The sequence below is a fragment of the Homo sapiens genome, chromosome 21, assembly GCF_000001405.40.
Source record: "Homo sapiens chromosome 21, GRCh38.p14 Primary Assembly".
NCBI lineage: Eukaryota > Metazoa > Chordata > Mammalia > Primates > Hominidae > Homo > Homo sapiens.
Window position 1 is genome coordinate 44,800,817 of NC_000021.9, and position 27,594 is coordinate 44,828,410.

The 27,594-nt window shown below is 52.3% G+C and overlaps 2 protein-coding genes and 1 long non-coding RNA gene across 6 annotated transcripts in view, besides 10 other annotated features; 1 reads left to right on the forward strand and 2 right to left on the reverse strand.

The window, feature by feature from the left end:
* UBE2G2 (ubiquitin conjugating enzyme E2 G2) overlaps positions 1–1,004 on the reverse strand; it is a 33,241-nt gene extending 32,237 nt beyond the window's left edge. For 2 of the 3 annotated variants that reach the window (NM_001202489.2, NM_003343.6), the window contains exon 1: positions 890–1,004. Coding sequence is in view for 1 of the 3 variants with exons in the window: in NM_003343.6 (NP_003334.2) it covers positions 890–932 (43 nt within the window). In the remaining 2 variants the exon portion in view is untranslated. Of the gene's footprint in view, positions 1–467; positions 583–889 lie in introns of all 3 variants that reach the window. The other variant, NM_182688.3, reaches the window with a different exon arrangement.
* Positions 230–1,185: an enhancer, noted in NCBI's record as "H3K27ac hESC enhancer chr21:46220961-46221916 (GRCh37/hg19 assembly coordinates)". NCBI's record gives its function as "activates a minimal SCP1, AML or CMV promoter by ChIP-STARR-seq in naive H9 embryonic stem cells {active_cell/tissue: H9 hESC(naive)}" and the evidence as "EXISTENCE:reporter gene assay evidence [ECO:0000049][PMID:30033119]".
* Positions 733–792: a silencer, noted in NCBI's record as "silent region_13386". NCBI's record gives its function as "represses an Ori minimal core promoter by ATAC-STARR-seq in GM12878 lymphoblastoid cells {active_cell/tissue: GM12878}" and the evidence as "EXISTENCE:reporter gene assay evidence [ECO:0000049][PMID:35858748]".
* Positions 853–1,072: a silencer, noted in NCBI's record as "silent region_13387". NCBI's record gives its function as "represses an Ori minimal core promoter by ATAC-STARR-seq in GM12878 lymphoblastoid cells {active_cell/tissue: GM12878}" and the evidence as "EXISTENCE:reporter gene assay evidence [ECO:0000049][PMID:35858748]".
* LINC01424 (long intergenic non-protein coding RNA 1424) lies at positions 1,425–3,901 on the forward strand. Its single transcript, NR_109928.1, has 2 exons — positions 1,425–1,820; positions 2,931–3,901. It is a non-coding gene; the product is annotated as a long intergenic non-protein coding RNA 1424 (long non-coding RNA).
* Positions 1,573–1,622: a silencer, noted in NCBI's record as "silent region_13388". NCBI's record gives its function as "represses an Ori minimal core promoter by ATAC-STARR-seq in GM12878 lymphoblastoid cells {active_cell/tissue: GM12878}" and the evidence as "EXISTENCE:reporter gene assay evidence [ECO:0000049][PMID:35858748]".
* Positions 4,801–17,246, reverse strand: SUMO3 (small ubiquitin like modifier 3). Of its 2 annotated transcripts, none has more exons than NM_006936.3 (4): positions 17,132–17,246; positions 13,160–13,288; positions 8,231–8,302; positions 4,801–6,224 (listed from the first exon to the last, which is right to left on the reverse strand). In NM_006936.3, exons 1-4 carry the CDS (start codon positions 17,150–17,152, stop codon positions 6,135–6,137), a joined length of 312 nt encoding a protein of 103 aa, NP_008867.2. In that variant the 5' UTR covers positions 17,153–17,246; the 3' UTR covers positions 4,801–6,134. The 2 variants fall into 2 exon arrangements, with proteins under 2 accessions (NP_008867.2, NP_001273345.1); NM_001286416.2 differs by having other exon boundaries at positions 13,046–13,288.
* Positions 6,352–6,505: a silencer, noted in NCBI's record as "fragment chr21:46227083-46227236 (GRCh37/hg19 assembly coordinates)". NCBI's record gives its function as "represses an EF-1alpha promoter that drives an FKBP-Casp9 reporter gene in an ReSE screen in phorbol 12-myristate 13-acetate-treated (for megakaryocytic differentiation) K562 erythroleukemia cells {active_cell/tissue: K562(+PMA)}" and the evidence as "EXISTENCE:reporter gene assay evidence [ECO:0000049][PMID:32094911]".
* Positions 14,584–15,098: an enhancer, noted in NCBI's record as "H3K4me1 hESC enhancer chr21:46235315-46235829 (GRCh37/hg19 assembly coordinates)". NCBI's record gives its function as "activates a minimal SCP1, AML or CMV promoter by ChIP-STARR-seq in naive H9 embryonic stem cells {active_cell/tissue: H9 hESC(naive)}" and the evidence as "EXISTENCE:reporter gene assay evidence [ECO:0000049][PMID:30033119]".
* Positions 16,778–16,977: a silencer, noted in NCBI's record as "silent region_13389". NCBI's record gives its function as "represses an Ori minimal core promoter by ATAC-STARR-seq in GM12878 lymphoblastoid cells {active_cell/tissue: GM12878}" and the evidence as "EXISTENCE:reporter gene assay evidence [ECO:0000049][PMID:35858748]".
* Positions 17,158–17,737: a silencer, noted in NCBI's record as "silent region_13390". NCBI's record gives its function as "represses an Ori minimal core promoter by ATAC-STARR-seq in GM12878 lymphoblastoid cells {active_cell/tissue: GM12878}" and the evidence as "EXISTENCE:reporter gene assay evidence [ECO:0000049][PMID:35858748]".
* Positions 17,758–17,857: a silencer, noted in NCBI's record as "silent region_13391". NCBI's record gives its function as "represses an Ori minimal core promoter by ATAC-STARR-seq in GM12878 lymphoblastoid cells {active_cell/tissue: GM12878}" and the evidence as "EXISTENCE:reporter gene assay evidence [ECO:0000049][PMID:35858748]".
* Positions 22,957–23,516: an enhancer, noted in NCBI's record as "H3K27ac hESC enhancer chr21:46243688-46244247 (GRCh37/hg19 assembly coordinates)". NCBI's record gives its function as "activates a minimal SCP1, AML or CMV promoter by ChIP-STARR-seq in naive H9 embryonic stem cells {active_cell/tissue: H9 hESC(naive)}" and the evidence as "EXISTENCE:reporter gene assay evidence [ECO:0000049][PMID:30033119]".

A 27,594-nucleotide genomic window follows, 5' to 3' on the forward strand; every position in this document is an offset into this window, starting at 1 on the left:
CAAAAGCAGCAGCTAACTTTATTAAGGGTTACACATCAGGTATTTTGCTAAGCACTTCACCTGCAGTATCAAGTTTAACCTTTTAAGACAAGGAAACTGCAGAGACAGAGAGAGGAACAAGGTCAAAGAGCTAACAAGCAGAGAGGCCGGGTCTGAACTCAGGCCCTGCTCTTAGCCGGCTACTATCTCGTCTCCATCGGCGACTCAGGCTCCTGGCGCTTTCAACACAATGGTATTCCAAGACTTCTCGCAGCAGTTCTTCCAAGCGGGCATTCGGTGTAAAACGATGGAATGCCGAGTGTTCCTAGGTTCTCATTTCTCCCTTCGCTCTCCTCAGACATTAGAAATATCTAATTTACCGGGTAGGAAAGCACTCAAGAGGTTTCCTCAACACTACCTAGGAGGAGTGACAGGTGGCACTGTTCAAAAACCCTTTTCCTTCATTAGAGGGAAAGCCAAAATCTGACCTTTCAAAGCTCCACCAACGAGCCTTTCCCCTTTTAACGCATACACTTTTCCCTCCTAATTCCGCAGCAGCAAGTCAGGCCTTCTTCCTCAAGCTCTCACTGCACGTTCTCAAGGCTGCCAAGAAAAGAAAAAATAGAAGAGAAAAAAACAAGCCCGCAAAGACTCAACTGTGTGTGCTCTCAACTAACACGGCGCCGGCGCTGCCTTTACTGATGCTGGGAAGGCTTCTCTTCACGACTTCACGCGTGAGAGTGGGCAGCGGGCGCAGGGCGCGGCACTCCGCGGGACCCACAGGGGGGCTCACGGTGGAGGCCCCGGGCCCGGCTCCCCCGCCAGGCTCCCTGCCCCAGCCCCGCCGGACGACGCGGGCCCGGGAGCAGGAACGCGGGACGCTGCTGACGGCCCGGGTCCCCAGACTCACGTTTGTACTCGGCCATCAGCCTCTTGAGCGCGGTCCCCGCCATGGCCCCGCAACAGCTGCGCCGAGCGACCTCGCCTCAGCCGCGCGCGTGCCTCCTGCCCCGACACCGGGGACTGCTTCCGGGCCACCGTCGCGGGCCCAGGAACTCTTCCGGGGCGTGGCGCGTGCGCGATCGCCGAGGCGCGCTGTCCGGGTGGTGGGAGCTCAACCCGCGACCGCGGCTACGATTCTCTTGGCTCCTGCCCTCGCCTTAGTCGCTCTGCGGGGTTGGTTCGGTCCCGGCACTTCCAGAGGCCTCAGGGTCCTGGTCTTGTAGAGACTTCCTGAACGGTGGCGCCTGTTCCAGTGTGTGTGCGCTAACTGCCTGTTCTGTGCCAGCCGCGCGTGGCCGAAGGGCGGGAGGACGGGGGTTGTGGAGGGGAGGATGGAGGTTGGGGAGACAGGGCGGGGACGAGATAAGAGGTCGGGGGGTGGGGAGGATGGTCGCGGGGCGGTCTGGGGCTGGAGACAAGGGGCCTGAGGTGCGGGTACGCACTGAACATTCCAACCGTCCCCAGCCGGCCGGGTTTCAGGTTTGAAAAGGTGGGAAGGTTAGCTGTCCTGGCGCTTTTCCTCCACGTGTTGTGCGGCTCCGCTGGAGTTCGGGTCCAGCACCTTCTACTCCGAGGGAGAGAGCCGCGGGGAGAGCCCTGTTCGGGCCCGCGGCTCGAACTGACCGCCGGCTCTGCCGAGCAGCCTCGACCCCAGGGCACCCCCGGGAGAGAGGGCGCGGCTCAGGTCCCTGCCCGAACCCCTGGGGTGCTGAGAGACTCCCCAGCGCCCCGCGTGGGCTCCCGGCCTCTCCACAGTTGAGGATCCTGTAAGGGGCGAGCCCTTTTTCCCATAATGGCTGTAGTGAGTGGGTGTGCTTTCCCGATTGACCCGCTGTGAGGTGAGCGATTTTAACCCACATCCTTACTGACTTCACAGCACAGTAGGTGCTTCGTGGCTGTCCGGTGCAAGGATGTATATACACACACACCTTTGCAAAAAAAGTTTGCATCTCTTGCCTGGCTGTTTGTTGCAATAATCTATCATTTGTCTTTTCCTTTCCAGCATTGCAGATGATCCCTTGAAAAGAAGTCTGATCACATTCACACTCTGCTCCGCCCATTTCACTCAGTAAAGCTGAAGTCCTGCAGTGCTTTGCTCTGCCTCCGGTCACCCCGCCATACTCCCAGACCCTCCCTCCCTCTCACTCCACTCCAGCTGCCCTGGCCTGGTTCAGAGTCCCTGACTCTTCCCTCCCCGGAAACACTTTCTGGCGGCTCTTGTCCCCGACTCTTCCCACCTGCTCTTTCAGTCTTTGCTCAAATGTTGCCTCTTCAGTGTGGCCTAGGCCGTCACCACCCGGCCTTCACCGCATACCTTTTTCTCTGCAACACCTACTCAACACACCGTACTATAGAACTTACTGGCATGCTATAAATGTATTACCCTTATCTGTTGCCTCTAACCAAAAGCGTGTTCCATGAGAGCCATGGGTCCCTGCCTACTTCTGTCTTGTTTCTGGGGCAGCCTCTGTACCTGGACATCGTATACTCTTAACACGGATTTGTCAAATCAAATGAAATTTAACAATACAAACTTCACAAGTATGCATAGTGTAGGAAAATTCCCCAAAATTCAAAATTTCAGTCTACCTCCATCTTTTCAAATGACCACAGTGCTTTATAAAATGACATGGTCCTTTGAGACTGTTTCAGAGAGTAATTTGTGCAAATGCAATGTGCAAAAAGTCACAGTGGAGGTGTTTCCTCCCCCATTCAAGAGCTGCTCTCTCTCTAATCAGACAGCACCCCACACCCCAAGGCAGTCTGTCCAGTGCTCCTAAAGGAGAGCAGCTCCCCTTTTCCAGTTATGGGAGATGTGGGCAATAAAGCATTACTGTCAATGCCGTGATGTTCACTGCAACATATGCTTGATGTTTTCATAATTTTATCCATCTTTTTCAGACATCTTACTGCAGAACACTGTATGTTTTCCAATTATTATTTTTCAGAAATGTGGTTTACAGCTTCTATCAGGATTAGCTTCAGCTTCAAGTGACAAAAGTCACTTGAAATATGAGTTGCTGAAACAAGATGGCAGTCTCTCCCCTCAACAGGACTGTTACAACACCTTATCTTCAGAGAACCAGGCTCTCTGCAACATTTCAGGGACGTCGTTCAGTACCTTATGTGGAATTCAAGCTTAGCTGGGCATCCTATGTTTTAACTGGCTAACTCGTGGAACTCTCAACTTGGATCAAGTGGTAGTGGAGTCCCAGGGACTCTGAGCAGCCAGTGTGTGATACTGCAGGGCAGCACACCCTGGGGAGGCCAACTGTACAGAATAAAATTAATGCTTTCTATCTTTAGCAACTAAAGTTCTGAAATATAAAAAGGACCTCACAGCTTAACCCATGTTATACGGTGGGGTTTTCCCATGAACATCACGCGTTTCCAGCTGGGCACTCCTGCAGCATGGCTAAGATGACAACTCAAGTTCCCTGGGAGTGGGGGTTCCTGGGATGTGAACCTTTCGGTGCAAAAACTGGAGAAGTTCCAGTTGGGACCCCAGGCATAGATACTAGGATAAATAGGGCCTCTCTCCTCCAGGAGCATCAATTTAACCCAAAGATTCTTGGAGTCAGTTTCACATAAGTAATCTTGTTGAAAATAGTAATCCCAACAGATCTATTTTTCCAAATGCACCATTTGCATAAATCTCAGAAAAAAGACAACTTCAAGAACATACCTTTGCTGGGCACCATGGCTCATGCCTGTAATCCCAACTACTTGGCAGGCTGAGGCACGAGGATCACTTGAGGCCAGGAGTCTGAGATCAGCTTGGGCAACTGATTTATGGTTTGGATTTGTGTCCATGCCCTTCCTCTTCTGCCATGATTATAAGTTTCCTGAGGCCTCCCTAGCCATGCTTCCTGTACAGCCTACAGAACTATGAGTCAATTAAACCTCTTTTCTTTATAAATTACCCAGTCTCAGGTAGTTCTTTATAGTAATGTGAGGATGCACTAATACAGCAATATAGTGAGAGCTCCATCTCTACAAATCTTTTTTAGAAAGACAGGACATCCTGCTGGTTCTGCTGTGAGGTGTTGTGGGTGGAAGTTCAAGCAGCGCTGCCCTAATACATCCACATATGCTCCTGGCCATTATTCTTATCTAACCTACGGTGCCTGGGACACATCCCTTTCCTCATTGATTTTGGCAGCCGCTTCGCCCCAGGCTGCCTAGGGAATCTGGCAGATGTCCCCATCCTGTATTGTGCCTTAATCCGTGCACTCTTCCTGGTGCAAGTGAATCACGTGTTCCATCTCCACAGCTGCCCATCTTTCTTCACCTTGGGTTCATTCAACTGATGGGCTAAAACAGCTCATTTTCAACCTGGGTTTTGTTACACCACTGCACACTGGGAAATTCTTAAAGCCAAATCAATGTCAGTTCAGTTTCAAAGCAGATAGGTAAGTTGTCCATGGCAGAAGGAAAGCTGACTTACATTCAAACACCAGAAAACGAGAGATGTCCTAGACTAACACCCAAGCTCACCTGCCTCTAAAATCCACCCTTTCTTTACATACGAAACCCAGGAGAGGGAGGGTAACATGTCACAGTGATGCCAGCTCAGACAGCTGTCAGCCAGGAGGTCTCTGAGGAGAGGATGCATCCCTCAGCAGGAAGAAGGCTGGACTAGCATTGGTGATGTGCCAGGGGAGGGGAAATGAGCTGCCAGGCGAATACTAACCTTCCAGCGGCTAGCTTTTCAATCAAAGTTTCTCAGTGCAGTGGCTGCCTGGAATGGTCAATTCAAACACTGAATTGTACCAGTATGCCCCAACCTTCAAATGCAGTGTTTAGTAGAAGCCAAGAGACAGAATACCAAACTATATTTACTGTTTACAGTAGTAAAGGACAACAAATAATGTACAAATTGGTGAATAAACACAACAGAGCCAACAAACATCCCACCCGAGCCCATACAGCAAACAGGAAATGAGAACATTTCAGCAAGATTTCAAGCAAGCAAGAGATGATGGGTCATTGTTCAGGTGACTGTAAAAAGGCAGAGAATGGCCACCAAGCAGCAATGGAGCCTCAGGGAAGGACAATAGGCAGAACTATGAAAATGTTTAATTGGTATAGATCCCAAAATATTTCACAGAACTGAAATCACCAGACTAATGCATAAATTCAATACCTATTTGGAAAGCAGCACGGCACAAACCCACGAGAAGAACATGAAGTCATCATTCCATGGGTTCATTTGTAACCACACTTGGAAGTAGCTCTTATACACGACAACATAACTGCAAATTCAGCAATACTTAGTCTTACTTTTTTATGTATAGACCATAATCATTCATCAGAAGCAAATACTAGAAGAAATCTGAGGCCACAACACCATTACCAAATGAGAAATGTGGGAATTTCTTCAATATTAAGAGGGAGAAAAAGGCCAATTTTGGTTGTGCCAATCCTTGCCTGTGTACCAACGCCAGGTACTGAGCAGGGAGTGGGGTGGGAGGGGTGGCAGGGGGGTGGGTCCTGGGCCTCAGACCCCGAGGTTACATGCTTGAGGGCCAGAGAGCACGTGGGGTCAAATTACCAAAAGACTCGGTTATTTTTTAACCTTTGAAGAAGCATTCCAGTATTTTCCCTTCAACTTTTCCATATACTGACAAAGCTTAAATTTGCAATATTTAGCATTTTAATCACCTGTGCCTGTAACAGCAAGTGACAGTCTGTCCTCCCTACCAACCTTGCCCCCAATACCTGTCCAACAGCTGCATCCCCACTGCGGGAAACACCAATTCTCTATGTGACTGGAGTGAGCAGGGGAGAGGCAACCAACTCAGGAGTCAGATCCCTGGCCAGACTAAAAGCGAACATTCAGGCTATAATTTTGGGGTTAAAAAAATGTTGTAGGAGGGGGGGAAAACACAAATGAGCACACAAAAGTACCCACAATATCTTGCAACTCATTTTACCTGAACAAAGATAACAATTCTGATTGGCCCAATTTAAGTTACAGATTCATCCCTGCAGATATAGTTTTGAGTTGCACTTGAAGTACATCAAAGAGAGGAAAATCATCGTGGTGAATGTCCTCGAGTTTCCGCAGACACCTTTGTGGTCGGCATGGTCACGTGCTCACCATTCAACAGCAATGCGAGGATGGACGGCCCGGGCTGGGGACGGGCCCTCTAGAAACTGTGCCCTGCCAGGCTGCTCTCCGGCACACCTCCCGTCTGCTGCTGGAACACGTCGATGGTGTCCTCGTCCTCCATCTCCAGCTGTCATGGTTGTCACAACAGGCACAGCGAGAGAGAGGGGAGCCTGTTAGTTTTCATCAGAGAGTGGGAAGATCCTCACTGGCATGAGTGTTCCCTGACACTAGCGACATCACCTGGTCACACCTTGGCTCTTGTCCGTCCCCTCACTGCAGCTCAGCACGCATGGAAGAGGCATTGCTGTATGCTCACTACAGCCCTTACGGTTCAACAAGCTTCCCCTAACAAAACTCACAAAAGCAGATTCAAAGCTAAAATGTTAACTGAGAGAAAAACTGAGTCTAGAAGATAAACTGAAATGTCTAAAATTCTTACTGAAAATTACACAAAATCAGATTCTAATTAAGAACATCTGATTAGCAGCACTGAGTCCTAGGACCCACAGGAGCCTTGCGCTTTATACCAAGTGCGGGGGACCATGCCATGAAAGCCAAAGCCCCCAGCTCACAGAAGGGCCCGTCAAGTGAGGGTCCATTGCCAGCTTCTCCCCGCCCCTCCCCATTTAAAGCCCAGGCAAGGTAGTGAAACACCCCCGCTCACTTCTCTCCTCCTGACACAGTGGGCGCAAAACACCCACCCTGATCTTCTTCCATCCTCTAAGCAAGAGGAAGCTTCTGCCAGTTCCTACACAGACTCAGCAAGGCTGGAAGTAGTCATGCTCCCAGATGGAAAGGAGTCCCATCAGGGCTGTCGGCCACCCTCACCCTGCCACCGACACTATGGGCTGGAGGGAGAGCCCCCAGGCAGGGCTCCCTCTGCCTCTCGGTCCACCTGTCCACAGCCAGCCCCCTGACCCCCAGTCAAGCCCCAGAGACTCCACGAGGCCCTCCCTGCTCAGCTGCTCTCAGCAGCTTCTCCCTGGTGAACACTCCCAGAGCTGCCACTGCCTCAGCGGTGTGTAGGTTTCCTCAAGTAGGTACAAATGGATACTTGTTGCAAAGATGTTTTCAATATTTATTAAATACTGAATAGTAAATATTTAAAATCTTAAATGTTTTGCAAAAATATTTCCACATAAAACATTCCAGTGGATTCTCACAACATTGAAAGGGAGAAAAAGCAGGTATTGGTTCCATTTATGGACAGACAAAACTGAGACTCCACAAGATGAAGTGATGCTTGGTCACGGGGCCATCAGCTGACAAATGACAAGAGCTGCAACTTGAACCAAGTTTAAAAAAAAACTCTGTTTCGGCCGGGCGCGTTGGCTCATGCCTTTAATCCCAGCACTTTGGGGGGCTGAGGTGGGCAGATCACAAGGTCAGGAGATCGAGACCATCCTGGCTAACATGGTGAAACCCCGTCTCTACTAAAAATACAAAAAAATTAGCCGGGAGTGGTGGTGGGCACCTATAGTCCCAGCTACTTGGGAGGCTGAGGCAGGAGAATGGCGTGAACTCAGGAGGCAGAGCTTGCACAGTGAGCTGAGACTGCGCCACTGCATTCTAGCCTGGGCAACAAAGCGAGACTCCGTCTCAAAAAAAAAAGTCTGTTTCCAGGTCCAAAGCTCTTTCCATGACAGTATGATGCCCTGCAACGTGATAGATGAAATCTCATTCATGTCTGCATGTGCCTGAGAGAAACGAGCTGTGCAGACTGATAATCAGGGGTTATGGCACATTCTGCCCACCCACGTCACTTGTGCAAGATGCTTAAAGGGCACAAGAATCCAGCTGGCCCCTAAGCTGCACACGGGCTACAACAGCAAGCGTCCAGACAATGAGTGGGAAGGGGCCGCTGAGTGGTCCTTGCACCCCCGCTTCCCTTACAGTGAGGACGGGCCCAGCACTTGGCTCCATCTCCAAACAGCAAGAATGATGTCTGCAAAGCAGTTTTCTCATTTGAAAATTTAAATTTAAAATGTGAAAAATAAATAATCTAATAATCAATATCATTAAGGCATTCTGTATGAGCTCCCACCTACAATTCTCAAATAAGCGTATCCCAAATGGCAGTTACCCCGCACAAATCGGAAGTCGCCCTGGAACCACGCGAAGCCAGCTCCGTACCTGTGCTGGAGTGTCAGTTTCATTGATTGGCTGCCCGTCGAACCTGAATCTGATCTGCCTCATTGACAAGCCCTGGAAAGGAAAAGCAGTGGCCATTAGTCTCACTGGCAAGCCCTGGAAAGGAAAAGCAGTGGCCATTAGTCTCACTGACAAGCCCTGGAGAGGAAAAGCAGTGGCCATTAAACATTTCCAGATACGGCTTAATTCAAAAACCAAATATTTTAATCCAAGTATCAGCATTCTGATATGCAGATTTATGATCCAGCTCAGTATTAAAAACTCACCAGTGGGCCTACAATCTCTTTCACGCGGTGCCTGACACCACTGCTTTCAGAACCCACTCTTCTACCATCTTCTCTCTGATGAGCTAAAACGGCTCATTTTCAACCCAGGTTTTGTTACACCATTGCATACTGGGAACTTCTTAAAGCCAAACCAGTGGCAGTTCAGTTTCAAAGCAGATAGGTAAGTGGTCCATGGCAGAAGGAAAGCCGACTTACATTCAAACACCAGAACACAAGAGACGTCCTAGACTAACATCCAAACTCATGTACCTCTAAAATCCACCCTTTCTTTACATACGAAACCCAGGTGAGGAAGCGTAACACGTCACAGTGACGCTAGCTCAGACAGCTGTCAGCCAGGAGGTCTCTGAGGAGCAGGAGAAAAGCTGGACTAGCATTGGTGATGTGCCAGGGGAGGGGAAATGAGCCGCCAGGTGAATACTAACCTTCCAGTGGCTAGCTTTTCAATCAAAGTTTCTCAGTGCAGTGGCCGTGTGGAATGGTCAATTCAAACACTGAATCTTCTCTGTCCTGGTGCCCTGACCTGTCCTGGGTCATCCCTCCCATCTTTCCAGAAGCCGAGTAGAACTTCTACAATGCTGGCACCACTACTTCCCCCCTTTACAAAGTTCTCAGCAAGGAACAGGTTGTGTGCCAATGAGGGACAGATAAGAAGGCTGCATGAGGCCGGGGAGCAGTTACCACCATGACTTTGGCCTTGAGGAGGGCAGCAGGAAGGAGAGCACGCAGCCTTTCTGCGTCCTGAGGGAATGGAGAAATGTGGTCAGGGGCAGAAACATTTCCTCAACGAGCAGTTTTGATTTAACTGAAACAGGACAGACGGGGTTAAAACGTGCATCTCTGCTCCCTCCTGAAACCCCACTGAAATGAAGTAAATGAAAAAGGCACAAACAGGAAGGACAAAGAAAACGGGAGTGGGGATGGGCAGATATGTCAATGCTGGGCTGAGCCAGAGGCTACTGAGGCGTGGACACTGGTGGTCTGATGGACACTGGACCAGGATCCTAGGGCGGAGGGACTGGGCACGCCCCAACCTGTGAGGCAGAGCTGTGGCAGGCAGCTGATTCTGAACAGCTGCCTGGAAGTTCACATGCAGACCCCTCAGGCAGGACCCCCACAACCCTGTGCCTCCCACGGCAGCACACATGAGATGTGCTTTCTGAGAAGGTGGGTGCGGAGCTCCAGGCGCAGGGCGGAAACAGGCCCACGAAAGCGCGTGCCCTCAACACTGTGCGCCAAGTCCCCTCTCCCCTCCAGATGCGCCTCCAGGAGGCTGGCCGGAGCCTGGAGGACTCAACTCTCAAACTGTAGCATCTGGGCGCCTCCAGAACCTGCAATCCAGACAGATCACCCCATGTGGATGCACAGCCCTGGCAGCACAGCCATCCATGTACACAGCTTTTCAGCAGCTTCTCGGTGCTCCATGCTTGCACAGAAGTCAGCCTGCGTGAGAGCAGTCAGGGAAAGGCTCACTGTGCAGCAGCCTAGAGAGGAGGGGAGGAGCGCAGAGGAGAACGGACAGGAAGGAGGCAGGAGAACACTCCCAACACAGGCACACACATGCCCACACCCACACATGCCCACACCCACACACATGCACACACCCACACATGCACACCCATGCACACACCCATGCACACACCCACACATGCACACACCCACATATGCACACACGCACACACCCACATACACACACGCACACACCCACACATACACACACACGAATGCACACATGCACACACCCACATACACACACATGCACACACCCACATATACACACAGGCACACACCCACACATACACACACAGGCACACACCCACACATACACACACATGCACAAAGACACGGACATACACACCACACACACCTACACTCACGATTCAAATTCTATGGGAAGTAAAAAATACTACTACCTTCAGAAAACAATCAATTGCTACTGAGGATGGGTGCGGTGGCTCACACCTGTAATCCCAGCACTTTGGGAGACCGAGGCAGAAGGATCACTTAAGCCCAGGAATTCCAGACCAGCCTGGACCACATAAGGAGACCCCATCTCCACAAAATAAAAAAATGAGCCAGGCGTGGTGGCGTGTACCTGGAGTCCCACCTACTCGGGAGGCTGAGGTGGGAGGATCACTTGAGCCCCAGGGCTCAAGGCTGCAGTGAACCATGATCACACCACTGCGCTCCAGCTTGGGGGACAGAGTGAGACCCTGTCTCAAAAAAAATAAGTTGCTACTGAGAAAAAAAGAACACTCAAAGAACAGAAAGAAAAAAGAACTTTTGGAAATTAAAAATCATGACAGAGATGAGAATGTCCACAGGAAGTGGAAAGATAAAGTTGAAATGACCTCCCGGAAAGAAGCCCAAATGCAACAATAAAGCCCAAAGCAAAATGGGAGAAAAATTATCAAATTTAAAATATCTAGGACAATGAGCAGCAGGAGGAACAGGAACTCCAAAAAGAGGGAACAGAGTCTGGAGAAGGATACAAATTATCAGAGAACTAACATAAGGCATATTTCCTGAATAAAAATAAACGTCCAGACCCATAAAGTGCCCAGCAGCATGAGTGAGAAAATCACCCACCTCTGAGGCACATAAGGAAACACTGAATGCCAGAATATGGTCCCAGATACTTCCAGGGAAAAACCAAGTTACAAACAAAGCACAGAGAATCAGAATCCACTGAACTTCTCACCTTTTTTTTTTTTTTTTTTTTTTTGAGACAGGGTCTTGCTCTGTCACCCAGGCTGGAGCAGTGATATGACCTCAGCTCCCTGCAGCCTCCACCTCCTGGGCTCAAACAATCCTCCCACCTCAGCCTCCTGAGTAGCTGGGACTATAGGCTTGCACCACCACACCTGGCTAATTTTTTTAATGTTTCGTAGAGACAGGGTCTCCCTGTGTTGCCCAGGCTTGGCACTGAACTCCTGACCTCAAGTCTTGAATTCCTGACCTCAAGTGATCCTCCCACATCAGCCTCCCAAAGTGCTGGGATTACAGGCATAAGCCACCATGCCTGGTGAACTTTTCACTTTTAACATTGGGAGCTATTCTCATGGCTGACCTCTGAAATAAAAAAGAAAAAAAAGTTTCAACCGAGAATATTACGTGCAGCCACATACTGAAGTGTGAAGGTTTATAAAAGCAAAAGTCACGTTCAGCCATGCAGTGTCTCAAAGACGCTGCCCTTCTGTGCCCGTTCTGACAAGACCCTGGAGGATGTGCTCCACCACAAAACACAAAAGGGAGGAGGACTAATCCAGGAAACACCCAAGAGAGAACCCAAGTTTCTAGAAGGATTTGAACAGGAGGCCCTGGACCACGGCTGAGCAGCCAGCCTCACAAGCAGCAGTGCAGGTGGGGCAGGAGGGGAGCTCCGGGAGAGCAGGGGGAAGGGCAGAGCCCCCCCCACATGTACACGGCCCCACACGCCTGCCATCCCGCAGCGCAGAGGAGAACATGGGCACCCGGGAAGTCACACACACAGTGGCCACGAGCCCAGGCAGTACAAACTCCAGCAAGGGCCAGGGCCCAGCATCAGGCAGAGGCTGGATCACGGGGCCTACACGGCGCCAGGCCACTCACTCTGCTGGGAAGACCGGGACCTGCGTGTCTGGAAGCTCAGTCTCACCTTTCGCAGGTGAAAATAAGATCTGCCCTCAGCAAACACAAAGAAAGGAAGTCAGGGGCTGCTTGCCAATAAAGAATGCAAGGCAGTCGCCAGTGACTGCCCCTATGAGCAGGGTATCCAAAGTGGGAGGGAAAGAGGAGGAAATCTAACTGAAAATCCACAGGCAAAAGAGTAAAATAAAAGGGCAACGAGTTGCTGTATTTTCAAAGCGGCTGAAGAAAAGCAGCCTCTAGGTCCCACTCAGGCAAGCAGGGCTCCCTGGGGAAGGGCGCCTGGCTGCAGGGCCGGGCCCCCAACACACCAGGCAGCAGCTGGTGGGCAAAGCCCATAAAAGTGGCCTAGAGAGGGACCCCCTGGCCCAGGGTGAGTCCGCCACAGCGTTACCAAGAACAACAGACACACACACACCACGTCACAAACAGCAGCCAGAAGGCATCCACCCAGCTGGGCACTGCCAGTGGGGCAGCTCATTATCCTGAAACTGGGGAAGAAGGGGAAAGAATCACGCGCTTTCTTGCCTTTCCTAACAAAATGGAAAACCACACCGCACATGAGGGCAGTGTCTCTCCAGGGTCAGGCCAGCTCATACGCGAGGACAGGGTGACAGCGGCGTGGGGCACACGCCACCTGCAGCCCCAGAATGGCCAGACCTGAGCAGGGCCCCCAAGAGCCTTCAGCATCACAGACTTCACAGATGTTAGTACCCCATGGAGAACACAGCACCCCGGGCAGCCGCCCTGTCAGGAAGAAAAACCCACCACACTTCTCCGAGCCTCTAGGTCCCTCCACCTTATAAAAGGCCATGGGGGACAAGCCCAGCCTGGACTAATTTTACAGCACAAGCCCCCGCCTGCCCATCCACGAAGAGGGCACCTCGGGCAGCTGCATCTGGGTCCAGCCCCGAGACGCTCGTGCTCTGGGGATGCCTGGAACGCACAGGACCAGTGCGCACACGGGGAGGCTCTGCGGGGGAGCAAGGTGCCGCACCTGCCTCTCGCAGTAGGCCTTCATCAGCTTGCTCAGCGGCGTGTGCCTCTTGATCTTGAACTGCACCACGGAGCCGTCCTGCCCGGCCACCTTCAGGTTGATGTGGTCATTCTCTGTCTTCACACCCTCCTGCAGAAGACACCAGAGACTGGCCTCAAAACTGTGTCTCAAAATAACCGCGACTTGAATGGGCAAGTCTTTAGGTAATTGTTGGCTTTTTAAAGTCATCAAAACCAACCTAATTCTTAAAATTCTCCAGCAATTCAGAGTCACTCGTGATGGTTTTATTTTTACACAGAATTTATTTTTAACTTCCACTTGTTAAGCATCCATGTGTAAAACAATGCAAGCCTAGGGTCCTCTGACATTGTTAATTCAAAGAAAAAAACAAAGTCTAGGGAAAAATAAGAGAAAATCCATCTTTATTTTAAAGTTATTCTTGTGGGCTGGGCACAGTGGCTCACACCTGTTATCCCAGTACTTTGGGAGTTGACGTGGGAGGATGGCGTAAGCCCAGGAGTTTGAGACCAGTCTGGGCAACAGAGCAAGACCCCATCTCTTTTTTAAAAAATTCTTATGAAACCAGTAAAAACACATATCCAAAAGTCATGCAGCTATACAGCACTAGTAAAAGAAACCAAAAACAGAAGAAAACATTTGTGACTCAGAGGAACCCTATGGGACATTCAAGTGGTGATTTCGGGAATCCAACTGAGGACGGCCACTCCCCACAGCAGGCGGCCAGGCTCCTTCTCGCTGCCCTGACATCAGCAAATGTGAGGGAAGCCACCTCCGAGTACTTTCTGGTTTCAAACTGTCCTATCTGAGCGGCAGTAGGTGGTACTATTTTATTTTTTAATTCATGCCATACTTGAAGCTACTCAACAATGGCACAATCGGGGTGTCTTGTTGCCTGAAAATGCATTTTGAGTTGAGGCAAAAAGCTGATGTCAAGAGACTGGGAGCCAACTTCGGGGCAGCTCAGTCTGAGCCGAAAAGTGGGGCACCCCTCTGCCGGCCTGCACTGCTGGGATAAAGTCGTTTGTGAGTGAAGCAATGAGGCAGGGCCCTCCGGCTCACTCTGAAAGTCAAGTCTGGGGCGTCCTGGTACCCTTTCACCCCATGCTGAGCTGCTGCCCTCAGGAAGCACTGTACATCACACGCCTGTTCTCTCCACTTCTCCTTTCCTTCCCTGGCTGGGAGAGGGACAACTGTCCCAGCGATGCCTAAATACAGGGAGTGGGATGTAGAAGGCTCGCCTGAGGGTGAACCCAGGGACTGCACCCATGCTTGCTTCCCTGGGGTATGCACCCTGGGGAGACCCTGGGGAGGCATGGTGCTCTGTCAAGGGAGCTAGAGTGGCCTGCAAGGGGCCTTGGCAGTGAGGGGCTCCAGCTGCGAGCCTGAAGGTGCGTGTCCTGGGGCGGCACTCACCCCCCGACTCCAGTCTTGGGCCAGACACCCCTGCCCACTCCCGGGATGCCAGTGGCTTGGCGGCAGCCTGAGTGGTGAGCTGGCACACCCCCATCTCCCCATCCCGAATGTGGCCTCCAGCACAGAGACAACTGGCCTAGGAAGGAAGAGCATGCAAACAGCTCCAGGCAGGATGGAAGTGGGGACCCCTGCATGAGCCCCCTTCACTTCCCCAAGCATGAGGATGCACTGGCTTCTTTAGGGAAGGAAGGTATGAGTGTGTTCAAAGGCACAGATGCAGGGCCCAGACGTCCCCCACAGGGTAATGGCTGCAGCCCCGGGGGGAATGGCTGCAGCCCCGGGAGAGGCTGGGGCAGGGCAGGGCCGGCCACAGTGCCTCTGCTCCAAACAGAATGACGATCTGTCCCAGACCCCTGGTGAATTCCTAATAAGCAAGTGAACTCGTGAGTTAAAAAGTGAAGCCCTAAAAACATGGGCCTCAGTTTGCTACAGTCAATCCTCCACCTCAGCTATCCAGGGAAGTCAGAACCATTCTCCTGCCTGACCTAAAAGCTCTTCTTTCCAGCACCACCGGGCCCCAGAGTCCACCTCTTCCCCTTCGTCAGAGCCCCAGAGGGCAGAGCTGCTCCCACATGGGCTCAGAGGGGACCCACCAGAAGCGGGGCCTGTGAGGTGGCAGCCACTCAGTCATTCTGGAATTAAACAAGTGTTTTCAACGGAACTGGAGCCTGAGATTGACCACATGGCAGAGCTAAGTGTAAATACTGCTGAGAAAATTAATATCATATGTATTTTATTACATTTACTCTTCATTAAGAGGAAGCCACCTACAAAAACATAAAGGACATTTATATTTGACCTAGTTTTAACAAGTATTTAAATATTCAAACAACCCCAGAGTGGGAGAACTTTGACTTCACTGGAGTCAAAATGTAAAAAGCAAAGGTCACCCCAAATGCCATCTGGATAGGGCAGGTTTCCCTGGAGTCTGACCACAGCAAGCAGAGTGCAGACTTCCATAGAGGCCGCGACCATGGTTCCTGACGGTTCCATCCCACTTCCCGCCAGTGTCTGGCACTGAGCCTCCACCCTCATCTGTAAAGGGAGGGTGGTCACCTCCAGGACCAGGCCAGTATCAGAGACAGCCTCTTTACAGAGCCTTCAGCTCTAGTCATCTTCCACTGGGATGTAACATAGAGGCCGACAGTGCACACCAAGGGCTTCGGAAAGGTTCTCTTTTTATGAACACTGGAGAATGCGACTACAGACCCTCCCGAGAAGGAATGGCCAGTGCACCTGAATGCAGGGTGCATACCCCAGGACTGAGACTGGAGGGAGGCACACCCCAGCATGGCAATGGGGGAGACTAAAGCCCACCCAAGGCTGGATAAGGAGGGGTGGGCGCGCATGGTGGGGGAGGCGCAATGCAGAGAAGTGGGCGCACACCGTGGGGCGTGATAGGGAGGGGTGGGCACACACTATAGGGGGCGTGATGGGGAGGGGTGGGCGCACATCGTGGAGGGGGTGATGGGGAGGGGTGGACGCACACTGGGGGTGTGATGGAAAGGGGGACGCGATGGATAGGGGTGGGCGCACACTGGGGGACGCGACGGGGAGGGGTGAGCACACACTGGGGGTGTGATGGAGAGGGCGACGCAATAGGGAGGGGTGGGCGCACACCAGGGACGCGATGATGGGGACGGGTGGGCGCACACCAGGTGGCATGATGGGGAGGAGTGGGTACACACCATGGGGGGCGTGATGGGGAGGCGTGGGCGTACACCGGGGGGCGCGATGGGGAGGGGTGGGCGCACACCGGGGGACGCGATGGAGGCGGTGGGTGCACACGGGGCGCGATGGGTGGGAGTAGGTGCACACTGAGGGCACGATTGGGGAGACACGAAGGAGAGGGGTGGGCGCACACTGGGGGACGCGATGGCCGGGACACGATGCGGAGAAGTGGGTGAATACCGGGGTCGCGATGGGCGCCCTGGAAGGACGGCAGTGCTGCTCACAGGGGCCAGGCCCCTCAGAGCGCGCCCCTTGGGGGTAACCCCAGACGCTTGTTCCCGAGCCGACTCCGTGCACTCGACACAGGATCCCGCACCCAGGGCGATGCCGGGGGAGAGGGCGACCCCAACCAGCAATGACTCAGGAGAGGAGCACGCAAAGACGCTTCGGGGACACTGCTGGGGCGGGATCCGAGGGCGCCGCGCTCTGCAGGAGCAGCAGCGCGGGGCCCGACACCGGGCGCTCAAGGAGGCGCTGGGCGCGCGCCTTCCCAGCTGGGGAGGAGACGGGCGTGGAGCGGAGGCGTGGCCAGGCCCGGAGGGGGCGGAGCTCGCGGCACAGCGCGCTTCGCGGGGGCAGAGGGGGCGCACCTTGGGCGGGCCCACTTAGGGGCGGGGCTCTAGAGGGCGGGGAGGGGCGGAGCCTGTCAGGGGCGGGACGCGGGGCGGAGTCGGGGTGGGGGCGGAGCCGGGCTGGGGGCGGGACGCCCGCGATAGACGCGCGTGCAGGCGGGGTCGCCGCGCTTACCTTGGGCTTCTCCTCGGACATGGCTGCGCGAGCGGCGCGGGGAGGCGGCGCGGGGGAAGCAGCGCGGAGCGGGCGAGTCACGCTCTCGGCCCCGCCGCTCTCCCGCCGCAACTGTGCGCGGGGCCGCGCTTTATCCCCCAAATCCCGGCGCACCCGTTGGCCGGCACGGGGGTCACGTGGCTGCGCGCGTTCACGAGGCGCGCTCCCCGGGGCGTCGGGCGCGCGCAGGCCGGGCCGCGGCTCTGGGCGGTTGGAGATGCGTCACGGGGCGGGTCCCGCGCGACCCCGTCGGGCGCGGAAGCCCTAGGGCGCTGTGGGGCGCGGGCCAGGAGCGTTTACGGGGAGCCCGGGCCCTGGGGACCCTTGCCCGCCTCCCCGCGTCGCCCGGGCCCCGACTCCTTTCCTGGGGGCCGCGTTCCTGGGGCGCCGGGAAGTGAGGCCGGGGCCGCCGCCCATGGCCGCAGGGACCTGGGGCGGAGGAGGGAGGACGCTGGGGGTGACGTTCCCTCTCAGGAGCCGCGGACAGAGCGGAGAAGGCGGCCCGCGGGGTCCCGTCCGCGGGGGCCGCGCGAATCGGGCCAGCACCCTAGACGATTGGGGGCGCCACCCGCCTCCCTGCCGCCGCGGTTTCCTGTCAGCCCCAGGCCGGGCTCCTTTGGCCAACGCTCCTACGGGGCTGCCCCGGGCCCTCCACACCCGTCCTCAAGAAGACCCGTTTTACCTGTGAAGAAACTGAGGCACTGGGAGGTCAAACCACCCCCAGGTCAGCGCTGGTGAGCGGCGCCGAGCTTGGCCAGGCCGCCACGTCGGCGAGCGCGGGCAAACCCAGGCTGGACGCCGCCAGTGCCGGCGGAACGGGGACCTCGTGGACGCGGGAAACGCGCTGGGCCGGCAGGACGGCCTCCCCGGACTTGCGGGCGCCATTCCTGGGGTGCCTGGCCCGCCCCGGCCTCCATGTCTGTGATCCCAGGGCCTCGGATGGAACGGACCTGAGGGCGGACACCCCTGCGTCCCTCAGGAGTGCCCGGGTGGTGCCAGCCGGGGCGTGGCGGAGGTCTCATCTGATGGTGAGCCCGGCCGAAGGCGGGGGAGGCCGCACTTCAGGCTCAGCTGGGAAATGGCAGGGCCTGGATTTGAACCTAAGCGTCTGAGCCGTTTCTGTCCTGCCTGGGAAAGGCTCAGCCAACTGAGCAACGTCGCAAAGCCATGGAGACAAGTCTTCATGGACCATAACTTCACAAACCGTCTTCTACTCAAAAATTCACTTTCTTGGCTAGAGCCCCCACTTAGGAGGGGGAAGGCTGCTGAAGTCTTTCGGGGAGAGGGTCTGAGAGTCAGCCCCAGTCCCAGGCAGGTCATAAGGTGTGGTCCCTTCCTTCTGGAACCTGGAGCCCAGGGCCTCAGCAGAGGATGTGGAGGTGGGTGGCCAGCTCAGACGGTCCTGGGAGGGGGCTCCGCAACCAGCCCCTTCCGAGGGGACGTGGCGCCTCAGAGCCCACAGATTGCTGGCCCTGGAAGTGCCCTAGGGCAGGCAGGGTTCAGAGAGTTATCGACTCCAAGACACCGTTAATCATAAAACAACACGACCGTAGGTAGCACAGACACACTAAACTCCGGCAGGCTGTGGATGACGGCAGCCCGCTTCAGTGTTGTGGAAGTGAGAAACACGCAGCTTAGAAATCATGAGACACAGAACCCAAATGTGTTACCGCTCGAAATTACGCCAGTTGCTGTGTCACGAAGTGATGCGTGACTACAGTCATGGATAAGGGAAAAAGAGGCTCAGATGACATTAGGTTTTAAAAAGCCAGGCTATAAGACAATGGTGGTCTGAATTCAATTCATGCTGTGTCTGTCTCCCACACTGTGACCTGCCCCGAATCCTTCATGTGACAGCAAAGATGCAAAAAGGCTCTGTCGCAGCTGTGGGGACACAAAGGACACCGCTGGTGGACCGAACGCCAAGAGGTTTCTGAAGGACACAGCCAAAGGGGATCGAATGGACGGAGGAACCAGAGCTCAGGAAAAACCGTGGCCTACCACGAGCACAGGGTAAAGAACCCAAATGGCCAGAGCCCCTCCGGAGGGTCGCCACACCTGGCGATGGTCCCAACAAGAAGACTCATGAGAAGGCAGGGAACTGGCAAATGAGTAACAGCATTGCTGACATGAAAGCTCGACCCACATGTGACTAGGAGAGGGGTCCTGGCTGAGGACGCAAAGAACTGCGAGACAAAGTCACAGGACTCTCCCATGATGGAGAAGTTAAGAGAGGAAAGGTCAGGGCTGGGCTGGGTGGCTCATGCCTGTAATCCCAGCACTTTGGGATGCTGAGGCTGGTGGATTACAAGGTCAGGAGTTCGAGACCAGCCTGGTCAACATGGTGAAACCCCGTCTCCACAAAAAAATTAGCCGGGCCTGGTGGCGCATGCCTGTAATCCCAGCTGCTTGGGAGGCTGAGGCAGGAGAATCGCTTAAACCCAGGAGGCAGAGGTTGCAGTGAGCTAAGATCGTGCCGCTGCACTCCAGCCTGGGCAACAGGGTGAGACTCCATTTCAAAAAAAAAGAAAAGAGAGAGGGAAGGTTGGAAGGCCGAGACACCGGGCATCAGTACAGGAAGGGCTACGTCCACCTGACAGGAGCTGCAGGAGAAGGTGGAAAAAAGGAAACCAGGACAAAATCAAAGACAGAATTGGAGAAAATATCTCTGAGGCCAGGCACGGTGGCTCACGCTTGTAATCCCAGCACTTTGGGAGGCTGAGGCAGGCGGATCACCTGAGGTCAGGAGTTTGAGACCAGCCTGAGCAACATGGTGAAACCCCATCTCTACTAAAAATACAAGAATTAGCTGAGTGTGGTTGTGTGTGCCTGTAATTCTGGCTCCTTGGAAGCCTGAGGCTGGAGAATCAGCTTGAACTCAGGAGGCAGAAGCTGCAGTGAGCCAAGGTCGCACCACTGCACTCCAGCCTGGGCAACAGGGCAAGACCCTATCTCAAAGAAAAAGTAAAAATAAGAAATTTCTCTGAACTAAAGAAATATTTGACTCCATAAATGGAAAGGGCCCCTGAGTATCCAATGGCTGAGTGAGAAGACTGACACAGATGCTTGGCATGTGAGGAGAAATCCCTGAGGCGTTCAGAGACGTTTCTACTTACAGTTAGGGAGGACTGGTTGCCTCAGACAAACCCAACAAAAATAGCCCAAAAATCAGTATAAAATATTCTTTAAATCTGTTTAAGGCTATCAGCTACCAAAAGAAGTCTTTCTGTGAGGGGCAAAGACCTTCCCCCACCTCAAAAAGAAAAGGGAAGAGTTTTTTTCCTTTGAGGCACTTGGTGATTAGTATCCTGTGTTAGCCTAGACTTCCATAAAAACATACAGACCGGGGGCCGGACGCGGTGGCTCACGCCGGTAATCCCAGCACTTTGAGAGGCTGAGCCAGGCAGATCACCTGAGGTCAGGAGTTTGAGACCAGCCTGAACAACATGGAGGAACCCCATCTCTACTAAAAATACAAAATCAGCCGGGCATGGTGGCGCATGCCTGTAATCCCAGCTACTCGGGAGGCTGAGGCAGGAGAATCGCTTGAACCTGGGAGGCGGAGGTTGTGGTGAGCCAAGATAGCACCATTGCACTGCAGCCTGGGCAACAAGAGTGAAACTCTGTCTCAAAAAAAAATAAATAAATAATACAGACTGGGCAGCTTAAACCATTGATAGTTATTTCCCAGCCTCCAGACAGTTCTAGAGACTGGAAGCCCAAAATCAGTGAGCCATCAGGGTTGGTGTCCGGTCAAGCCTCTCCTCCCAACTTGTATGCAGCCAACTTGGCGTGTTCTCACAATGGCCTTTCTGCTGTGTCTGCAGAGAGGGAGAGATCTCTGGTGTATCTTCCTCCTTTTGCAAAGACACCAGTCCTCTGGGATTAGGGCCCCACCCTTATCACCTCAGTTAACCTTAATCACCTCTTTAAAGGTTCTGTCTCCAAATGAAATCACATTGGAGGTCAGGGCTTCAACATGTGAATGCTGGGGGGACACAATTCAGTCTCACATATGCAGTGGAAAGAAGTTGACACACTGAGCAGAGCTTTTGCATCTCCTAGGGTTGGGGAGACAATAATTGGTGACAGCCCACAAGATAGGGAGACTCTGATGAGTGACCCAGACCTTCAGCTGAGAGCACTGAGGGCTGCAATAGGGGAGGAAGGCTGAGGGGTGAGTAGATCGTCCCTCTCAAAGTCTGAAACCAAGCTTCCAAAGGGCTGACTCCCAGACTAAGTTGATCTGCTCTCTTTCCCACAGCCAGCCCAAAGCAAAAGGAAATATGCAGAGGTAAATAGCATCATCCAGGGCCTCAAATTAACTAAAATATTTCCATATACAATATCCAGATTTAAAGTTTACAAAGAAAACCAGGAGACAAATGATCCAAAACCAAAAAATATATATATAAATAAAGTAGGAATAATTCCATGGGATTATCATGTCAACAGGATATTGACATTATCATACACTTTAAGGTAATGTGATTAATATGTTCAAGAAAATAGATTATGAGATGGAAATGTTCAGCAGAGAAGTGGGGTATATAAAAAACAATTTAATGGAAATTAAAAAAACAATAGCTGAAGTTATAAATTCAATGGATGGGTTTGAAACAGATTAGACACAGTGAAAGAGATGATTAATGAACTGAAAGATAGGTCAGAAGAAAATATTCAGGCTGGGTGCAGTGTAATCCCAGCACTTTGGGAGGCGGAGGTGGGTGGATCACCGGAGGTCAGGAGTTTAAGACCAGCCTGGCCAATATGGCAAAACCCCATCTCTACTAAAAATACAAAAAATTAGCCAGGCATGGTGGTGGGCACCTGTAATTTCTTGAACCCAGGAGATGGAAGTTGCAGTGAGCTGAGATCACGCCATTGCACACTAGCCTGGGCAACAGAGCAAGACTCTGTCTCAAAAAAAAATTGATCAAAGGTAACAAAACACAGATTACAAATGTACTATCAACATCAATCAGAATAGATTAAAAAAACACGTGGTTACATTCTAAACCTGCTGAAAACCAAAGACAAAGAGAATAGAAGCTAGACATATAAAGGAGAAACTAAAGGACTTACACCTGACTTTGTGACAAAACCATGGAAGCCAGGTGACAATGGAATTAACATCTTCAACGTGGTGAAAGAAAACAGCTATCTACATAGAATTTTATACCAAATGAAAACATCATATAAAGGCAGAAGTGAAATGAAGATATTTCAGAAAAAGCAAATCATAGAGATATGTGAAAGGCAAATAAAAACTTGGGACCCCAATTCACTCTGCCAAAAGGAAAAAATTAAGCTGAAAGCTGAGTCATGCAAGAAGCTGCCTTTCTTTTAGTTCCTAAGCAGATAGCTAGAGATAAAAGGTTAAACATCACCACAAGTAGCTGCTCTAAGTTCACCTTCTCTTATGGAAAGTGCCAATTTGCTGGGCATAAGATGAATACACAATTGACTCCTCCCCACCGGCTCCTTTTCTCTTGCACCATGTACATTCAGTCATGTGACCACACCCTTCCTCTTTCCCCTCTAGCCCACTTTTCCTCTTTAAATACTGAAGCCCTCAGAGTCATCTTTGGAGAAAGGCACAGACCACAGGCTGTTTCTGTGATTCCATGCTTTTTTCTCCCAGGAGTTGTTCTTAACCTTGGCAAAGTAAACTTCTAAATTGATTGAGACCTGTCTCAGATACTTTTTGGTTTGCAGAATTAACTGCCAGAAAGCATACACTAAAATAAATACTAAAAGGATTTCTTCAGCAGAGGGAAAGTGGCCCTGGACGGAAGTATGAAGTACAGGAAGGAATGAAGAACAATAAAAAGCCTGCATATCTGGGTAAATCTAAATAGACAATGACTGCATAGAACAACAATAATAATGTCTTCTGGAGTTCTAAATAGATGTGGAATTAGAAGAAGTGATAATGACAGCACGAGGCAGGAGGAATTAACGTGTTCTAGGGTTGTTGCAGTATCTAAAAAGTGGTAAAGGGGGTTCTAGCAGGTGAGGGATGTCTGAGCTGAAGCCTGAGGATAAAGAAGAGCCTGCCGCTCTCCCTCTCCCTCTCCCCACGGTCTCCCTCTCCCCACGGTCTCCCTCTCCCCCTCTTTCCACGGTCTCCCTCTGATGCCGAGCCGAAGCTGGACTGTACTGCTGCCATCTCGGCTCACTGCAACCTCCCTGCCTGATTCTCCTGCCTCAGCCTGCCGAGTGCCTGGGATTGCAGGCCCGCGCCGCCACGCCTGACTGGTTTTCGTATTTTTTTGGTGGAGACGGGGTTTCGCTGTGTTGGCGGGGCTGGCCTCCAGCTCCTAACCGCAAGTGATCCGCCAGCCTCGGCCTCCGGAGGTGCCGGGATTGCAGACGGTGTCTGGTTCACTCAGTGCTCAATGGTGCCCAGGCTGGAGTGCAGTGGCGTGATCTCGGCTTGCTACAACCTCCACCTCCCAGCCGCCTGCCTTGGCCTCCCAAAGTGCCGAGAGTGCAGCCTCTGCCCGGCCGCCACCCCGTCTGGGAATTGAGGAGCGTCTCTGCCTGGCCGCCTATCGTCTGGGACGTGAGGAGCCCCTCTGCCTGGCTGCCCAGTCTGGAAAGTGAGGAGTGTCTCTGTCCGGCCGCCATCCCATCTAGGAAGTGAGGAGCGCCTCTTCCCGGCCGCCATCCCATCTAGGAAGTGAGGAGCGTCTCTGCCCGGCCGCCCATCTTCTGAGATGTGGGGAGCGCCTTTGCCCCGCCGCCCTGTCTGGGATGTGAGGAGCGCCTCTGCCCGGCCGCGACCCCGTCTGGGAGGTGAGGAGCGTCTCTGCCCAGCCGCCCTGTCTGAGAAGGGAGGAGACCCTCCGCCTGGCAACCGCCCCGTCTGAGAAGTGAGGAGCCCCTCCGCCCGGCAGCCGCCCCGTCTGGGAAGTGAGGAGCGTCTCCGCCAGGCAGCCACCCCGTCCGGGAGGGAGGTGGGGGTCAGCCCCCGCCAGGCCAGCCGCCCCGTCCGGGAGGTGAGGGGCGCCTCTGCCCAGCCGCCCCTACTGGGAAGTGAAGAGCCCCTCTACCCGGCCAGCCGCTCCGTCCGGGAGGGAGTTGGGGGGTTCAGCCACCCGCCCGGCCAGCCGCCCCGTCTGGGAGGTGAGGGGCGCCTCTGCCCGGCCAGCCACCCCGTCCGGGAGGGAGGTGGGGGGGTCAGCCCCCCGCCCGGCCAGCCGCCCCATCCGGGAGGGAGGTGGGGGGGTCAGCCCCCCGCCCGGCCAGCCGCCCCATCCGGGAGGGAGGTGGGGGGGTCAGCCCCCCGCCCGGCCAGCCGCCCCGTCTGGGAGGGAGGTGGGGGGGTCAGCCCCCCGCCCGGCCAGCCGCCTCGTCCGGGAGGTGAGGGGCGCCTCTGCCCGGCCGCCCCTACTGGGAAGTGAGGAGCCCCTCTGCCCGGCCACCACCCCGTCTGGGAGGTGTACCCAACAGCTCATTGAGAACGGGCCATGATGACAATGGCGGTTTTGTGGAATAGAAAGGGGGGAAAGGTGGGGAAAAGATTGAGAAATCGGATGGTTGCCGTGTCTGTGTGGAAAGAAGTAGACATGGGAGACTTTTCATTTTGTTCTGTACTAAGAAAAATTCTTCTGCCTTGGGATCCTGTTGATCTGTGACCTTACCCCCAACCCTGTGCTCTCTGAAACATGTGCTGTGTCCACTCAGGGTTAAATGGATTAAGGGCGGTGCAAGATGTGCTTTGTTAAACAGATGCTTGAAGGCAGCATGCTCGTTAAGAGTCATCACCACTCCCTAATCTCAAGTACCTAGGGACACAAACACTGCGGAAGGCTGCAGGGTCCTCTGCCTAGGAAAACCAGAGACCTTTGTTCACTTGTTTATCTGCTGACCTTCCCTCCACTATTGTCCTATGACCCTGCCAAATCCCCGTCTGTGAGAAACACTCAAGAATGATCAATAAAAATAAATAAATAAATAAATAAATAAATAATTAAAAAAAAAGTGGTAAAGGGGAGGACAGACAAGTTTAAGATATTTTCAGAAATGCAAATATTCACTGGGTTTTCCATCCACGGATCCTCACTGAAAGAATCATCATGGATTCACTGCAGCAAAATGCAGATGGAACTCATGACAGGGACATTCAAGCAGAATCAGTGTGTGCTGTTGAGTGGACCGTGCACTGCACAACTCCAGGAACATTTGGAACCCAACTCCAGGAACATCTGGAACCCAACTCCAGGAACATCACTGGTTTTAAACTACAGTGTGATCGATGAGTTCTTTGAGAGTTCTGTATTGTTTCCTGGCTGGAAAAGAAAAGTGAGCAAAGAAACCAGCAAAAGTCATTTTTAATACTAAATACTTTGTGCTGCATACTGTAAAAAAAAAAAAATACGGTATCTGGGATTAAAATCCCAGCAGATTGTAACACAGCAGATGTAAGGTATAGATGGAGGAGAAGGAGACAGGAAGAAGGGAAGTACAAGCATACTACAGTTCTTGTCTGGTTCAAGGTGAAAACATAGATAAAGATATTAATATTTGTTGATAGAATAATGGGAGTTTAAACACATATAAAAATGCTCAAGTTATGTATGCACTTTCCTGTATGTATGTTTCATTTCAATGAAAAAGTGGTTTATAAAGAAAAAAATTTACCCACCTGGCCAACATGGTAAAACCTTGTCTCTACTAAAAATACAAAAATTAGCCAGGCATGGTGGCAGGCATCTGTAATCCCAGCTACTCAGGAGGCTGAGGCAGGAGAATCTCTTGAACCCAGGAGGTGGAGGTTTCAGTGAGCCTAGATTGTGCTACTGCACTCCAGCCTGGGCAACAAGAGCAAGACTTTGTCTCAACAAAAAAAAAAAAAAAAAAGAAAAAGAAATTAGGATAATCTGAAGGAAATTAAAAGTAGCTTTCAAACCACTGGGAGAAAAGCAATACAGCAAAAATCAACCAATGTAACAAATTCATTAAAAGAGATATAAACAATAAAAATAATAATGGAAGACAATGCGTAGCACTTATGTGAAATGCATTCCTCTGTATCTTTATATGTATTAATGATAGGAGGTAGCTACTATTATCGTGCCATTTTACAGATGTGGGAGCTGAGGCAAAATCATACAAAGGTAAGGTTCCACCTAGAATCTAGAAATCTGGGAAGAGCATTGCCCCTAACCTAAAAACAGAAACGCCGAATGACCTACAAAATCATCACTGTTCTTAAATCTACCAGGGAGCTGAAATTGCAATGTAATCAACCTGAAATCCAAGGATAGACAGGGTAATTGGCTCACCCTTGACAAGGAACAGGAGGAAGATGGAGCTGCTGTAAAAGTGGACGAGAAGAATTCAGACAACCTTATTAGAAAATTGCTTAAGACCAAGCGTGGGCTTCTGTGCGAATACAGAACCCCAAGAACTGGAGACACAATGGAGGCTCACCCTGCTTATAGGCTCTTCCACACATCACACCCTGGGCACTCACAGGAAAGGCTGGAGCATGTGGGAGGCCAGAGGAAGCAATATGTGATGGCAGAGGCCCTGGGAGGGGAGGAGCCACCACTGTGGCGGGGAGTAGGGGAAAAACCCCACCAGACAGTTTTTCCCTATGGAACAGATGCCTTAAGATGCCAGGGAGAGAGGAGCAGAAAATCCTGTCACCTAGGGACCTGTTGTGGCTGGGGAAAACAACAAGAAAATAATTCCACCTCTAAGGGAGGGGTTGAAACATATGTACACTCAGCCCGTCAGAGGTCTTCCATCTCCAGGGAAGGAACAGGATTACTGAAAAAAATTCCACTCTGAGACTCAAGGATGTGAGTCCTGCCTGAGACTGAGCAGGACCAGGGCAGAGAGAAACAAGCAAGAGCAGCCCTCCTGAGTGAGGGGCACCAACAGGCCCTGTCTCAAGGGCAGACATGCAAAGAAGACCTAAGTTAAAGGTGCAGAGCAGGCTCATTGAGAAAAGTCCTGCAGCAAACCATCCTCAACCCTAAGTTCAAGGTCATGCTACCCTCAAGGTGACCACAGCAACAGCAAAACTCAAATCCAGCTCAACTCCTAGCTTGATTGACTCAAACCCCCATGATGGCAACCTAATGGGGAATGTCCATTTCCAGATAGAAATACTGTTGTCTCACATACAATGGCTGGCTTTCAGTAAATAATTATGAGGCACAAAAAAAAAAAAAAAAGGGAAAAGAAAAATCACAACCAGGAGACAAAAATCAGTAGAACCAGATTCAGATATGACTCAGATGCAAGGATTGTCAGATAGGAATTTATCTTAAAGGTTCTAGTGGAAACAGTAAACAATATGAATGTCAAGGTGAGGAGCTTCAGCACAGAGATTGAAATGCTAAGAAAGAGTCCAGTGAAAATGCTAGAGAGGAAGCCCACCTCCAACAGGCTCATGAATAGGCTCA